The following is a 15,319-nucleotide window of genomic DNA, read 5'->3' on the forward strand; positions in this document are numbered from 1 at the left end:
TTCATTGATGGGTAAAGCTGGGGCCGCTCTCCGCCACCCTGGGCTCAATACACCTGATCCTGTCACACTCACTGATCCCACTCTGTGCCAAACCCCACGCTGGCTCTCACTGCAGAGAGGAATCCCTCCAGGTCCTCTGCAGTCTAGATGGAAGCAAAACTGAACACTGAGGTGCGAAAGTAGCAGTCAGTGGCCATTCTGGAGCAGGGCCAGCACCAGACCCCTGGCTTGGAGCCTAATCAGGGTTTCCCATTAGAACTCTGGATCCATGTGGAGAACCAGGGCCCAGCAACCTCACCAGTCCACAGCCTAGGGAACCAGGGGTACCTAAACAGCCAGTCAGTTTATCAGATCATGTCTCGAATGTTGATGCAAGACTGTGGCAGGGGAAAAGCGAGAGAGAGGGGAAAGGAAGCGAAGTCAGGTAGTGACAGCAGAACTTTTAGCTCTGATGGAAGCCTCTCTCAGGGATGGTGAGGAATGGACAGGTTAATGGAGTCCGTCAGGTCCTTAGCTGTCCTGGAGGGGTGGAAGCCAGAAACAGATTAGGTGAGAGGGACCTGGCCACCAGCAGGAGCAGGAGCAGTGGTGGAGTGGGTGTGATAACTCAGCTGCCGGGGCCCTTTTCTTCCCTGTGGTGGGGATGGGGGCAGCCTTCCATCCCTGTGCATTCTTCAAGTCCCCAGCACCTGAGGTCACCCAAGAACATCTCTGTTCTTTGCCACCTGGTGCCGGCCTTGTATAGCACGTGATCACAGGTCAGTGGCTGTGATAGGTTTATTCAGAGGAAGCACTAGACTCTGGGGTAGCTCACATGGGTAAGAAAGACTTCCAGGAGCAGGCATTGAAGGGTTGGCACCCTGGGTGAGTGTCCAAGGTCAGCGAGAGTCACTTGTGGAGGGGACGGAAGATGACCTGGCTGATCTGGCCAGGGATGGTGTAGAAGACCAGGAGGAGGAAGACGGTGAGCAGCACCAGTAGCAGCAGCACCAGGGTGCGCCAGTACCGGCGCCAGATGAAGAAGACAAAGGTCTTCAGCGGGTTCACAAACCAGTTGAAGGAAGTTTTGGGGCGGCTGTTGAGGAGAAGAGTGGTGTCAGGATGAGGAGGAAGCCCCTTGACCACCCCCACCTCCCCATCGGCCCAGGCTGTGGCCCCAGCCCCGGTGCCTGACTCACCTGGGTTTCTCCAGAGGCTCTGGCTGCTTCCGCCCCTTCCCCACTGGCCGTTTCTCGGCCTCCTCCACAGTCAGCAGCTCAAACTCTGCCTCCACCTTGCCCTAAAAAAGACATTCCTGCATCACTGGGAGCAGGGGGCGGGCTCAGGCCCCAGCTCAGCCTGGCCTCTGCCCACGGGCACCCACCGTGAGGATGTACACATTGCCACCCATGTCTGTGAACTCCAGGTCTTCTGGCCGGCCCTTCCTCCTCCTCTGCTTTCGCTTCTTCTTGCCAGCCTGAGCCTCCTGCGCCTCCCGCTCCACGTCCTCTGCCTCCTTCAGCTTCACTACCGGCCACCAGCCCCTCAGGCGGCGGCAGCAGCGAAACAGATTGCACCTCGGCCCGGCCCCATTGCGGGCCAGCTGCACAGAGCAGAGCTCGGGGCCCCGGGCCCCACGCACCATGTCTGGTAGCTGCAACTCCAGGGATCCTGCAAGTCCAGAGCACACCAGATTAGGCATGGGATCAAAGTCTCATTGTGCCAGGGGTGAGGAGGCAACACACCAAGGTTGTAAATTGGGGCATTGAAAGTTGTTGCAGTGTGCGGTCAGGCCACAGCTATAGACCACCCAGACCACAGCCCAGCGGTCCACCCATTGCTACTTCCCAGTGGAAGAGGGCCAAGGGTCGGGATCAGAGTGCCAAGGACCAAAGGCTGTGGAGTCGGTGTCAGGGTGACAAGCTAGGGTCAAATCAGAGTTGAATCAGAGACTCTGGGTGGGAATGGAGGTTACTGTGGTCTAGGCCTAATTAACTCAGTAATTAGGCCAGAAAGCAAAGGTTTCACACCTCGGGTCCAAAATCCCAAGATTCAAGGTTGGGTCAGAGTAGGGAACTGGGGGACGGAAGTGAGGGCTGGAGGCAGGGGCGGAGGTGAGGGCCGGAGGCAGGGGCTGAGGGTGGGGAAGGCTAAGCATTGTAATACCAAGGAAGTCATTGGCAGAGATGCGGTCATAGTCCCAGACCTGCAGGACCAGCACTGCAGGCTGCCGGAACTCCGCCTCCTCCAGGGCAAAGGGTCCAGACCTGCGCCGGACGCTCACCTCCCGCTCCGTGGGCAGGTAGTCAAAGCGGAACACAAAGCGCCAATTGAAGTTCCCCTCCCCAGTCAGGGAGTTGAAGTGAACGTCTGTCTCCTGCTTGTCATGCTCCAACCCCTTCACCCAGCTGGGGCCGGGGTGGGTGAGCGTCAGGGCTGGAGCTACATGGAGAACCCACTCCTCACCCCGCTCTCAGCACCACGGAGGGCCTGGGGTCGGGGCTCTGGACTCAGCCCGAGGGCCCACACCCATTTGCAATCCCCCTAGTGCACCGCCGTTGCCCCACCCGGCCAGCAGCCTACCTCTTCACATAGATGTCACTCGACATCTCTCCGGTGAGTGGATTCTCGTCGTCCAGAACCACATCCTCCGTGTTCCAGATGACAACTCTGAGCTCATAGCTGGGGGGCACATTAGGGGGTGGCTTCAGACTCTCGAGTGGGGCCCTAAAAGGGGCTGCAGGAAGCAGGAGGGACCTGGGCCGGGGCCACTGACATTCACTGGACACCTGTGTGCCCAGCAGGGGAATCCAATGCCTGTGGTCCCATGAAGGGAAGCCCCAGGTGTCACTGACCACCCTGGCCACAGCAGATGGCCCCAGGAATGGTCTGTGGGGCCAGCGAGGTTCTCCTTCCCGTGAATTTAGAATCAGGGCGCTGCACTGTTGCATGGTGTGGCATCAGATGCAAAGCTGGAGCTACCACAAGCCAGAGTTTGGGGATGTAGAAAAGTGAGTGAACAGAAAGCCAGTCTGCAGGGAGAAGAGGGAGGATGAGAGATGGGGGACAGGAGCATACAGCGCCTGAGGGACAGGAGGGCTGCGACACTCTGGACCCTACCCGCATATAGCCCTGTCTTTGGGGGCCATGGGGTTGCCTGGATAGCTGTTTTCTCCAGCCCAGCATCAATTTCCCCTCATTTGTTGACAGCACCGTGATTTTCTGCTGGTGACCCACCCCCACCCCAACCACCCCTCCCCACCACCACTGTCAATCTATGGAATTCTGGTGGGGCAGGCCCCTCCCTCCCTGGCTGGACGGGGTCGGGGAGACATCACTGGACTGGCCAATTCGAGTATTACAGCCCCCTAACCACAATGATTGGTTCTTCAGGGCACAGCATTTGACCCAAGCTGGTCGGCTGAGTCAGCCCTGAGGCTTTTGCTGTAACTGGGAAAGAGGTGTTTGTTTCTGCTCAAGTGGCCTGGCTGAGATGTAAGCCTCGCACTGTTAGATGCCACTTTGCCCCCAGCCCTGCAGAGGGCTCCCTGAGAGCGACACCAAGGAAAGCAGAGCCCAGAGGCAGAAAGTGACAGGCTGCTGATATCCGAGCATCTGCATTCAGCCCTGTGTGAAGTGGCTGTGACCCACACACAACTCCACTCAGATGAGCTTAGGTGGGAAGGGGGCTTACCAAAAGGTACTTGGACTCAATTTACAAGAGACACTCAACTTGCAATGCTTTTGAATAACAGGGAATTTAATGACACCTAACTGAAAAGCCTGTGATGAGCAACCTCTGCCTGCTTCACTGGGGACCCGGGTTTTCAGAGGAGCCTTGTACAGGTAGACCAGGATGTGCACCCGCCTTGGGAGGAGGCGACAGAACTCTCACCTGATTGGCTGCCGAGGCTTGATGTCAACTGGGGGTGGAGCAGGCACATCTTGAGGAAAGATGTCAATCCACATGTGAAGAGATCCCTGGGGGGACAGGACCAGGCTGGAGGGTCTTGCCAGGCTCCCAACCTTCCCTGACAGCCCTATGGCCACAGGCTGTGCCTTGTCCCCAAGTGGAGAAAAGAGCTAGGGTCAAAATGACAGGGTCGGGTAGATCCTGGGGGATGAGGATGAAGGTGGAGTCTGAAGTGTGGGTTCCAGGATCAAGGTTAGATTAGGGGTTCAAGGATGAGGTCCAGGCTGGGCGCGGTGGCTCACGCCTGTAATCCCAGCACTTTGGGAGTCCATGGAGGGTAGATCACTTGAGCTCAGGAGTTTGAGACCAGCCTGGGCAATATGACGGAACCCTGTCTCTACAAAAAATATAAGAACTAGCCGAGTGTGGTGGCAGACGCCTGTAATCCCAGCTACTCCCGAGGATGAGGTGGGAGGATCACTTGAGCCTGGGAGGTGGAGGCTGCAGTGAGCCGAGATCATGCACCTGCACTCCAGCTTGGGCAACAGAGTGAGACCCCATGTCAAAAAGGAAAAAAAAAAAAAATGAGGTTCCAGAAGGGGAAGTTGAGATTAAAAGTAATATCTGGTGTTCCAAGGTCCAGATCTTAGGGATCTGGGGGGAGGTCAGGTTAGGAACCCCACATCTGAGTCTTGGGGCCCGGGGGTGGGGATCCTGTAGGACTAGGGTCAGGGTGAAGGTGTGGTCCAGGATGGAGGTCCAAGATGAGCAGGGACACAGGGACCAGCAACAGGAGCTGCAGTCAGGAGCTGCAGGTGGCACCCAGGTGGACATCTTGGGGAAAGGCTGTCCTGGGGGCCCAGGGTCCAGGATCAGGTGGGTGTCCTGGGATTCTAAGAGTCTTGTGATTCTGGGCCTGGGTGCTGAGCCCTCCCACACCTGTAGCAGCCCTGGGCTGTGGGGATGGTAGAGAGGCCTGGTTTCTACATGCTCGGGTACCAGCTGGATCCCAAAACCCGGCATTTCCTGCCAGCGCCGCAGCACAAGCAATGCCTGGGCCTCTTCAGGGTCCCCGCTCGCCACTGTGGGGCTGCTGCTGCCTGAAGCAAGAGGTGTGTGAGCTTAGGGCTCCACACAGTTTCCATCTCTCCTCCCGCCCTCCCCCGCCCCGCCCCCCCAACAGAAGCTCTAAGCTGGGGAAGCCACTGTGTTGGATAAAGCCCTGTGGACTAGGAGAGCAGCTCTGTAATGCACAAAAAGTGGGAGACGCTGCTATAACTTTGCCCAGTGAAAAGCCAGCAGTCAGTGGGACAGTGGGATTGGAGGTACTGCCACCTTTGCCTAGACCCTATTTAGAGAATAAGCCACCAGAGCAGGCACACTGGCTCATGCCTGTAATCCGAGCACTTTTGGAGGCCAAGATGAGAGGATTGCTTGAGTCCAGGAGTTTGAGACCAGTCTGAGCAACATGGCGAAACCTCATCTCTACCAAAAAAAAAAAAAAAAAAAAAAAAGAAAGAAACTTAGGTGGGCGTGATGGTACGTGCCTGTAATCCCAGCTACTCAGGGGGCTGAGATGGGAGGATCACTTGAGCCTGGGAGGTCCAGGCTCCAGTGAGCTGAGATGGCACCACTGCACTCCAGCCTGGGTGACAGAGCAAGACCCTGTCTCAAAAAAAATAAATAAATAAAAAATAAGCCTCCAGCCATTTAATTCTGCAGCCACATTCTGTTATATGGGGCGCTCTATGGGACCTCTGTGTTCCGGGAACTTGATTAGTTATGGGTCCACTTTGGCTCTTTGGGGGAATCTCACACTCACCAATAAAGACTGTTTTCTCCCTAATACCCAAGAACCTCGTCCTTACTCAACCAAATTCACATCTACTTGCTGAAGAAATGGGTTATTTTGGGGAGCACACAAGACTGGGCCCCCTGTACCTTGTTCTACCGACATCTTGCTTGAACAGAAAGGGGCTGATACCTGGGGGCAGGGTCTCCGGTGGTGTCAGGAAGACTTTGCTGCCCACCTTGACAGCACCGGCTCGGTATTCAGGGGCAGGGAGGCCACAGCGTTGGCACAGCCCCGCCAGGATCTGCGAAGGCCAGAATGCATCACGCCAGGCATTGTAACCATCTCTACAGGCAGAAAAAGAAGATGCGTCAGCTGGGGCTGGTGTAGGGACACAGCTGGGCCTGGGGCAGTGATGACGTCATGAAGACATGAGGTCTAGGTTCAAAACTCCCAACGGGAGACAGGTTAGTCCTCATTTATGATAACAATGAATGAAAAAAATGTAGTCCAGGTGCTTCCATTAAGAAGATACTGATCTTATTACCTCTGTTTTGCAGATGAGAAAACAGACTTGAAGAGGTTAAGTGGGCCTGGCATGGTGGCTCACACCTGTAATCCCAGCACTTTGGGAGGCAGAGGTGGGTGGATCACTTGAGGTCAGGGGTTCAAGACCAGCCTGGACAACATGGTGAAACCCTGTCTCTACTAAAAATATAAAAATTAGCTGGACATGGGGGCCCACGCCTGTAATCCCAGCTACTGGGGAGGCTGAGGCAGGAGAATCGCTTGAACCCAGGAGGTGGAGGTTGCAGTCAGCCGAGATCGTGCCACTGCACTCCAACCTGGGAGACAGAGCGAGACTGTTTCATAAAAAAAGAAAGCGGTCAAGTGACATTCGTTACAGGATCCCGACTCCCAAGCCCAAGTCTTGACCACTGAGCTATGTCTTGGTTGGCAGTGGCGGTGGGTGGGAGGGTCCCCTTCCATGAAATCATAGGATCTGGAGAACACAAAAGGGAATGTGAGCTTGAATGTGTTTGGCCAGAAACTCAGAATGGCTCCTGTGGGCCCTGCTGGACCCACACTTCATACTGGGAGGCCAGCCCACAGTTTGCTCTGTGGTGGCTATAGAATCGGTTTTCCAGATCAATGTGGGTCTCCCCGATGAGGTCGTCAGAACCCACGAGGTCATGATCAAATACGGCGACCGTCAGCTCCGTCTCAGCTGGGAGAGAGATGCTTAGCTCCAGGATCCTGGCAAGGAGGGAGAGGGACTGAGGTCACTTCCATGCTCCAGGAGGTGGTCTGGGGAGGAGGCGGGTGTGTCAGCATCCCCTGTCCATTCCCTTGCCATTCCTAGGCCAGCTGCCACAAGGCCACAGGGCTGGATGCTCCTGCAGCTACCCCGTTTCCACCCCACAGGGCCCAGCCTCACTCTCCAAAGATGGGGTTGAGCTGCTTGGGGATGTAGCGTTCCTTGGTGTCCTGCCGCTCCCGGCCAGCGCTCACCACCACGTAAGGGTCTGCTTTGCCATTGGGGTCTGCAGGAGCCAGGTTGGTAGCCTAGGGGAACAGCATGGAGTGGAACTGAGAGAAATGTCATTATGATAACCCAAGGTTACCTTTGTAGGACCTAATTTCCCATTGGGTGAAAGCAGGAAGTTATCAAGGAGAGATCTCCCACTGTGAGGAGCTAATGGAGAGGTTGGACAAGATGACTTTTATTTTCAATTAGTTATGAAATAGTTAAGTCATACAAATAGGTATAACAAAAAGTGTAATGAAACAAAATATTTTGAAAGATGTATAACGGACTTACTATTCAACTCATAACTTTCTATATGGTTTGACTTATTTTTTAATTTATGAATTTTTTTAATAGAGATGAGGGTCTCACTATGTTGCCCAGGCTGGTCTCAAACTCCTGGGCCGGGCGCAGTGGCTCACACCTGTAATCCCAGCACTTTGGAAGGCCAAGGCAGGTGGATTATTTGCAGTGAGGAGTTTGAGACCAGCCTGGCCATCATGGAAAACCCCATCTCTACTAAAAATACAAAACTTAGCCAGGCGTGGTGGCGCACACCTGTAGTCCCAGCTACTCAGGAGGCTGAGGCAGGAGAATGGCGTGAACCCGGGAGGCGGAACTTGCAGTGAGCCGAGATTGCGCCACTGCACTCCAGCCTGGGCGACAGAGCGAGACTCCGTCTCAAAAAAAAAAAAAAAAAAAGAAAGAAAGAAAGAAAGAAATTACATCCTGTGTAGTTTTTTTCCCCCCCTTTTTATAGAGACAGGGGTCTCACACTACATTGCCAAGGCTGGTGTTGAACTCCCGGCCTCAAATGATTTTCCCACCTCAGCCTCCCAAAGTCCTGGGATTACACAGTGTGAGCCTCTGCACCTCCAGCCCTGTGTAGTTTCTTGACTGAAAGTTGTTGGGTGATTTTTTCAATTGTTGTTTGCCTAAAGAGGTCTTTCATTTTTTTCTCTCTTGAATGAGTGTTTCCTGGGACACACAATTCAAGGGTGATAGTTATTTTTCTCTCAGTGCTTTGAAGATATTATTCTATTTTTCTTCCAGCACTTTTGGTTGCTGTAGAGAAGTTGATGGGCTGACTGTCATTCCATTGTGGTAATCTGTACTTTCTCTATGATGATCTTTACATCTTTTTAATTTAGAGATTGGGTCTTGTTCTGTTGCCCAGGCTGGTCTCGAGAACTCCTGGCATCAAGCAGTCCTCCCACCTCAGCCTTCTGAGTAGCTGGGGTTACAGGCATGAGCCACTGTGCCAACTTGATTTTTTTTTGGTATTTATATTTTCCATAGCACTTATGCTTTCTTCTTTTTTTTTTTTTTTTTTTTCCCTGAGACAGAGTCTCGCTCTGTTGCCCAGGTTGGAATGCAATGGCATGATCTCGGCTCACTGCAACCTCTACCTCCCAGGTTCAAGGGATTCTCCTGCCTCAGCCTCCCGAGTAGCTGGGATTACAGGCACATGCCACCACACCTGGCTAATTTTTGTATTATTAGTAGAGAACGGATTTCACCATGCTGGCCAGGCTGGTCTCAAACTCCTGACCTCAGGTGATCCGCCTGGCTCAGCCTCCCAAAGTGCTGGGATTACAGGCGTGAGTTATCACGCCTGGCCACACTTATGCCTCTCTAACGCACTGAAACATTTACTTATTTTGTTAATGTTTGTTTCTCCTACTAGAATGCAGTCTTCATAAAGGCAAAGCTTTTTTTCTCCTTGTGATTACATATTAATTTTATTCTTTGAAATCTCTTTCTTCTCTTGTCCTGTCCAAATCCTACTTAGAGATACTCAGTCAAGCCTTAATTTCCTGTGCTGGCTCGGCTCAGTGGTTCATGGCTATAATCCTAGTACTTTGGGAGGCTAAGACAGGCAGGAGCTCAGGAGTTCGAGACCAGCTTGGGCAACATGGTGAAATCCTGTCTCTACTAAAAAATAGAAAAAATTAGCTGGGTGTGGTGGCATGCGCCTGTAGTCCCAGCTACTTGTGGGGGCTGAGGTGGGAGGATCGCTTGAGCCTGGGAGGTCAAGGCTGCAGGGAGCCGTGATCATGCCACTGCACCCCACCCTGGGCAACAGAGTGAGACCCTGTCTCAAAAAAAAAAAAACCCGCGAATTTACTGCAGAGACAGTAATAAAGGAGTATGGTAGTGGCATAAACATAGATCAGTAGAATAGAACTGAGAGTCCAGAAAGAAATCCACATATCTATGGTCAATTGATCTTCAACAAGGGTACCTAGACCATTCAATGGGAAAAGAACCATCTCTCCAACAGATGGAGCTGAGACAACTGGACAGTCACATACAAAAGTATGAGGTCAGACCCTCACCTCACACTAGATACAAAAACTAACCCCAAATGGATCACAGACTTAAACATGAGAGTCAAAACTCAAACTCACAGCAGAAAACAGGCAAAAGTCTTCATGACCTTGGATTTTGCAAAGGTTTCTTAGCTATAACCAAAAAGCACAGTCAATAAAAGAAATAAAAATAGACTTCATCAAAATTAAAATCTCTTTTGCTTTAAAGGACACTATCAATAGAGTGAAAAGACAACGTAGAAAGTGAGAAAATATTTGCAAGCCATATAAAAATCTAGTAGCCAGAATATACAAAGAACTCCTACAACTCAACAACAAAACAACAATCTAATTTTAAAACGGACAAAGGACTTTAGACATGTCTCCAAGATATACAAAGTTCTAAAAACCACATGAAGACTGTTCAGTGTCATTAGGAAACAAATCAAAACCACAATTAGATACCACTTTATACCCACTAAGATGATCTTAATTTTTTCTTTTTCTTTTTTTTTTTTTTTTGAGTCAGAGACTCGCTCTGTCACCCAGGCTGGAGCGCAGTGGCGCGGTCTCGGCTCACTGCAACCTCTGACTCCAGGGTTCAAGCGATTCTCCTGCCTCAGCCTCCTGAGTAGCTGAGATTACAGGCGCCTGCCACCACGCCCGGCTAATTTTTTGTATTTTTAGTAGAGACTGGGTTTCACCATGTTGGCCAGGCTGGTCTCGAACTCCTGACCTCGTGATCCGCCCACCTCAGCCTCCCAAGGTGCTGGGATTACAAGCATGAGCCACTGCGCCTGGCCTGACATTCATTTTTTTAAAAGGACAATAAAGGCTAGGAGCAGTGGCTCATGCCTGTAATCCCTGCACTTTAGGAGGCCTAGGCGGGTGGATCACCTGAGGTCAGGAGTTTGAGACCAGCCTGGCCAACATGGCGAAACCCTGTCTCTACTAAAAATATAAAAATCAGCCAGGCGTGGTGGCGAGCGCCTGTAATTCCAGCTACTTGGGAGGCTGGGGCAGGAGAATCGCTTGAGCCCAGGAGGAAAGGGTTGCAGTGAGCCAAGATAGCACCACTACACTCCAGCCTGGGTGACAGAGCGAGACTCTGTCTCAAAAAAAAAAAAAAAAAAAAAGAAAATGTAAGTTATATTCTGGCACTCCTTTGCTCAGAACCTTCCTATGGCTTCCCATGTAATTCAGAATAAAGTGAATAACAAAACCCAACATGATCTGCTTTCTCTGCCCATCACTGCTCCATTTCCTCTGAAGCCTTAATTCCTAAAACCTGTTCATTTATCCTGCCTGCTACGGCCACAAGGGGCCCCTTGTTGTTTGTCACACACGAGTCATGGTTCTACCTGATGGCCTCTGTACCAGCTGTTCTGCCTGGAATGCTTTCTCCCTCAGGTAGCCACCTGGATAACTCCTTGGCCCCCTCCTAGTGTGTATTTAAGAGACAGGGTCTCTCTCTGTCACCCAGGCTGAACTGCAGTGGTGGCATCACAGCTCACTATAGCCTCAACCTCCCAAGCTCAAACAATCCTCCCATCTCAGCCTTCCTAGTAGCTGGGACTACAGGTGGAAGCCACTGTGCCCAACTCTAGTATTTGTTTAAATAACACTTTCTCAGCCGGGCATGGTGGCTCATTCCTGTAATCCAGCATTTTGTAGTTCGAGACCAGCCTGGGCAACATAGCAAGACCTCGTCTCTACCAAAAAAAAAAAAAAAGTCTTATTGAGGTCTATCAACTCCGACCATCCATTTGCAACCCACCCCCAGCACTCCCCCATCCCTTTATCCTGACATATTTTCTCCACAGCACTTATAATTTTCTAACATATAAATAAGATATATAACTTTTTTTTGTTTTGAGATGGAGTTTCGCTCTTGTCGCCCAGGCTGGAGTGCAGTGGTGTGGTCTCAGCTCACTGCAACCTCTGCCTCCTGGGTTAAAGCAATTCTCCTTCCTCAGCCTCTTGAGTAGCTGGGACTACAGGCATGTGCCACCAGGCCTGGCTAATTTTTGTATTTTTAGTAGAGACGGGTTTTGTATGTTTAGTAGAGACAGGAGTTCGGGCTGATCTCGAACTCCTGACCTCAGGTGATCTGCCCCCTCCTCAGACTCCCAAAGTGCTGGGATTACAGGCGTGAGCCACCATGCCCAGCCCGTAAGCTATATAATTTACTTATTGATTATGGTTATTGTTCATCTCTTTTCACTAGAATGTAAAGTTCACGAGGGCACTGATTTTCATCTGTTTTACTCACTGCTTTTTATCACCAGTACCCAGAACACTGCCTAGTACCTCATAAAAAATGCAAGAAAGGCCGGGCACGGTGGCTCACACCTCTAATCCCAGCACTTTGGGAGGCCAAGGCGGGCAGATCACCTGAGGTCGGGAGTTTGAGACCAGCCTGACCAACATGGAGAAACCCTGTCTCTACTAAAAATACAAAATTAGCTGGGTGTGGTGGTGCATGCCTGTAAACCCCAGCTTGAGGCAGGAGAATCGCTTGAACCCAGGAGGCGGAGGTTGCAGTGAGCCGAAATTGCGCCATTGCACTCCAGCCTGGGCAACAAGAGCGAAACTCCGTCTCAAAAAAAAAAAAAAAAGAAAAAAAAATGCAAGAAATACCTGTGGAATAAATGTTTGTGAGTGAAACTGGCCTAGAATTATACTTTCTCATGTCATTCTTCTCAGGTTTTGCATCAACATTATGCCACCCTCATGGAATTAACTGGGGTATTTCTTTTTATATTCTCTGAAATGGTTTGTGTAAGATTAAAATTGTTTCATCCATAACTGGTGGAAACTGCTGCTGAGACCATTTGGTCTGGAGTTTCTGACACAATTTCTTTTAATACTTATAGTACTATTCAGGTTTTCTGGCCAGGTATGGTGGCTCATGGCTGTAATCCCAGCACTTTGGGAAGCCGAGGTGGGTGGATCACTTGAGGCCAGGAGTTCAAGACCAGCCTGGCCAACATGGCAAAACCCTGTCTCTACTAAAAAATAGAAAAATCAGCCAGGCGTGGATGCAGGCACCTGTAATCCCAGCTACTCAGGTAGCTGAGGCAGGAGAATTGCTTGAACCTAGGAGGTGGAGGATGCAGTAAGCCAAGATTGCACCACTGCACTCCAGCCTGGGCGACAGAGCAAGACTATCTCAAAAATAAGTAAGTTTTCTTCCTTTTTTTCTGGCACACTGCATCCTCAGTGGCTCAAGCAATCCTCCCACCTCAGCCTCCTGAGTAGCTGGGACAACAAGCAGGAACCACCACGTCCAGGTAATTTTTATTTTGTTTTTATTTTTTATTTTTTTTTTTGAGACAGAGTCTAGCTCTGTCGCCCAGGTTGGAGTGCAGTGGCATGATCTCAGCTCACTGCAACTTCTGCCTCCCAGGTTCAAGCAATTCTCGTGCCTCAGCCTCCCTAGTAGCTGGGACTACGCACATGCCACCATGCCCTGCTAATTTCTGTATTTTTAGTAGAGCATTGGGGTCTTACCATGGTGGCCAGGCTGGTCTCAAACTCCTGACCTCAGGTAATCTGCCCACCTTGGCCTCCCAAAGTGCTGGGATTACAGAGGTGAGCCACTGCACCTGGCCTAACTTTTAAATTTTTTTGTAGAGATAGGGTCTCAGCCGGGCACAGTGGCTCATGCCCGTAATCCCAGCACTTTGGGGGGCCAAGGGGGGGGCGCGGATCATGAGGTCAAGAGTTCAAGACCAGCCTGACCAACATGGAGAAACCCTGTCTCTACTAAAAATACAAAAAATTAGCTGGATGTGGTGGCAGGCGCCTGTAATCCCAGCCACTCGGGAGGCTGAGGCAAGAGAATTGCTTGAACCCAGGAGGCGGAGGTTGCAGTGAGCCGAGACTGTGCCACAGCACTCCAGCTGGGGCAACAGAGTGAGACTGTGTCTAAAGAAGAAAAAAAAAGTGGACGTTGTAGTGAAGGGATTGGGAGGAGATTCGTGGATGTAATGAAGATACAGCTTAGACTACAGGCTGTATCTATTTTACAGGGGAGAGCCAAAGGATAAGACAGCTGGGAGGAGCTCTCCTGGGGTTAAAACAAATATCAAACACTAACCTCAGAAAGTATTCATTGGAAAGAGCCACCATTTGATTAGATTTATTTGTAGAGGATTTTATGCTCCCAGGATACTACTGCAAATGACAGAGCAATAAGTAGAGCTTAACTGGGTGTGGTCAGGGAAAAGAATGCAAGAGGGCCCTACCAGTACCACTGTCATCCTAGGGTGACAGTGGTATATCCAAAGCTGCACCTGCCAGAGTAGCAACATCAGTGATCTAACACAGGGGATGGGAAATAGACTTTGCTAAAATAATCCAGCCAGTCACTAAACAAATAAACAAGCAAATAACAAGAAACCTCAGTACCCAGAGTTGCTATCATATATTATCTAAATGCTGTTTCCAACAAAAAATTATGAGGCCTGCAAAGAAATAGAAAAATTATTTTTCCATCCACCCCCCAAAAAATGCCCGTGAGAGCAACACAATGTTGAACTTAACAGGAAAGTATGTATGTGTGTGTGTGTGTATGTATGTATGTATGTATGTATGTATCTATCTATCTATCTATCTATATATATATATATATATATTTTTTTTTTTTTTTTTTTTTTTTTTTTGAGACGGAGTCTTGCTCTGTCGCCCAGGCCGGAGTGCAGTGGCACAATCTCGGCTCACTACAAGCTCCGCCTCCTGGGTTCAGGCCATTCTCCCGCCTCAGCCTCCCGAGTAGCTGGGACTACAGTGCCCACCAGCATGCCCAGCTAATTTTTTGTATTTTTAGTAGAGATGGGGTTTCACCATGTTAGCCAGGATGGTCTCGATCTCCTGACCTCATGATCTGCCTGCCTCGGCCTCCCAAGTGCTGGGATTACAGGCGTGAGCCACTGCGCCCGGCCGACTGGAAAGTATTTCAAAGTAGCCAGTGTAAACATGTTCACAGAACTGAAGGCAAGCTTGATTAGAGAAGTAAAGGAAGGTATGATGATAACGTTGCATCAAATAGAGAATATCAATAAAGAGATATACATTTTTTTTTTTGTTTTTGAGAGAATCTCACTCTGTCACCCAGGCTCGAGTGCAGTGGTGTGATCTCAGCTCACTGCAACTTCTGCCTCCCAGGTTCAAGCAATTCTCCTGCCTCAGCCTCCCAAGTAGCTGGGACTACTGGCACATGCCACCACACCCAGCTAATTTTTTGTATTTTTTTTAGTAGAGACGGGGTTTCACCGTGTTAGCCAGGATGGTCTCGTCTCCTGACCTCATGATCCACCCGCCTCAGCCCCCCAAAGTGCTGGGATTACAGGCATGAGCCACCACACCCAGCCAAGCCATACATTTTTTTAAAAAGAACCAAATGAAAATTCTTGAGTTGAAAAGTACAATAACTAAAATTTAAAATTCACTAGAGAGGCTCAATAGTAGATTTGAACAGAAGAAAGAATTGGCAAACTTGAAGCTAGATCAAAAGCGATTATGTAAGCTGAAGAACAGAGAGAAAAGAGAAAAAAGAAAAATGAAATAGAGCCTCAAACAAATGTGGAACACCATTAAGTACACCAACACACGTATAATGGGAGCATTAGGAGGAGACAGAGAGCTGGGTGCAGTGGCTCACGCCTGTAATGAGGCAGGCGGATCATTTGAGGTCAAAACTTTGAGACCAGCCTGGCCAACATGGTGAATGAAACCCCATCTCTAAAATTAGCCAGGCATGGTGGTGTGTGCCTATAGTCCCAGCTATTCCG

At 50.4% G+C, this 15,319-nt stretch overlaps 1 pseudogene across 1 annotated transcript in view, besides 3 other annotated features; it reads right to left on the reverse strand.

The window, feature by feature from the left end:
- Positions 47-228: a silencer, noted in NCBI's record as "fragment chr20:34145795-34145976 (GRCh37/hg19 assembly coordinates)". NCBI's record gives its function as "represses an EF-1alpha promoter that drives an FKBP-Casp9 reporter gene in an ReSE screen in K562 erythroleukemia cells {active_cell/tissue: K562}" and the evidence as "EXISTENCE:reporter gene assay evidence [ECO:0000049][PMID:32094911]".
- FER1L4 (fer-1 like family member 4 (pseudogene)) overlaps positions 760-15,319 on the reverse strand; it is a 48,826-nt pseudogene continuing 34,266 nt past the window's right edge. The window contains exons 36-43 of the transcript NR_119376.1: positions 7,123-7,250; positions 5,877-6,941; positions 3,875-3,960; positions 2,563-2,661; positions 2,146-2,387; positions 1,364-1,650; positions 1,179-1,279; positions 760-1,075 (exon numbers count right to left, since the gene is read on the reverse strand). The product of NR_119376.1 is annotated as a fer-1 like family member 4 (pseudogene) (transcript). The remainder of the gene's footprint in view (positions 1,076-1,178; positions 1,280-1,363; positions 1,651-2,145; positions 2,388-2,562; positions 2,662-3,874; positions 3,961-5,876; positions 6,942-7,122; positions 7,251-15,319) is intronic.
- Positions 1,068-1,572: an enhancer, noted in NCBI's record as "H3K4me1 hESC enhancer chr20:34146815-34147316 (GRCh37/hg19 assembly coordinates)". NCBI's record gives its function as "activates a minimal SCP1, AML or CMV promoter by ChIP-STARR-seq in primed H9 embryonic stem cells {active_cell/tissue: H9 hESC(primed)}" and the evidence as "EXISTENCE:reporter gene assay evidence [ECO:0000049][PMID:30033119]".
- Positions 1,573-2,072: an enhancer, noted in NCBI's record as "H3K4me1 hESC enhancer chr20:34147317-34147816 (GRCh37/hg19 assembly coordinates)". NCBI's record gives its function as "activates a minimal SCP1, AML or CMV promoter by ChIP-STARR-seq in primed H9 embryonic stem cells {active_cell/tissue: H9 hESC(primed)}" and the evidence as "EXISTENCE:reporter gene assay evidence [ECO:0000049][PMID:30033119]".

This window comes from Homo sapiens, chromosome 20 (genome assembly GCF_000001405.40).
Source record: "Homo sapiens chromosome 20, GRCh38.p14 Primary Assembly".
Taxonomy (NCBI): Eukaryota; Metazoa; Chordata; class Mammalia; order Primates; family Hominidae; genus Homo; species Homo sapiens.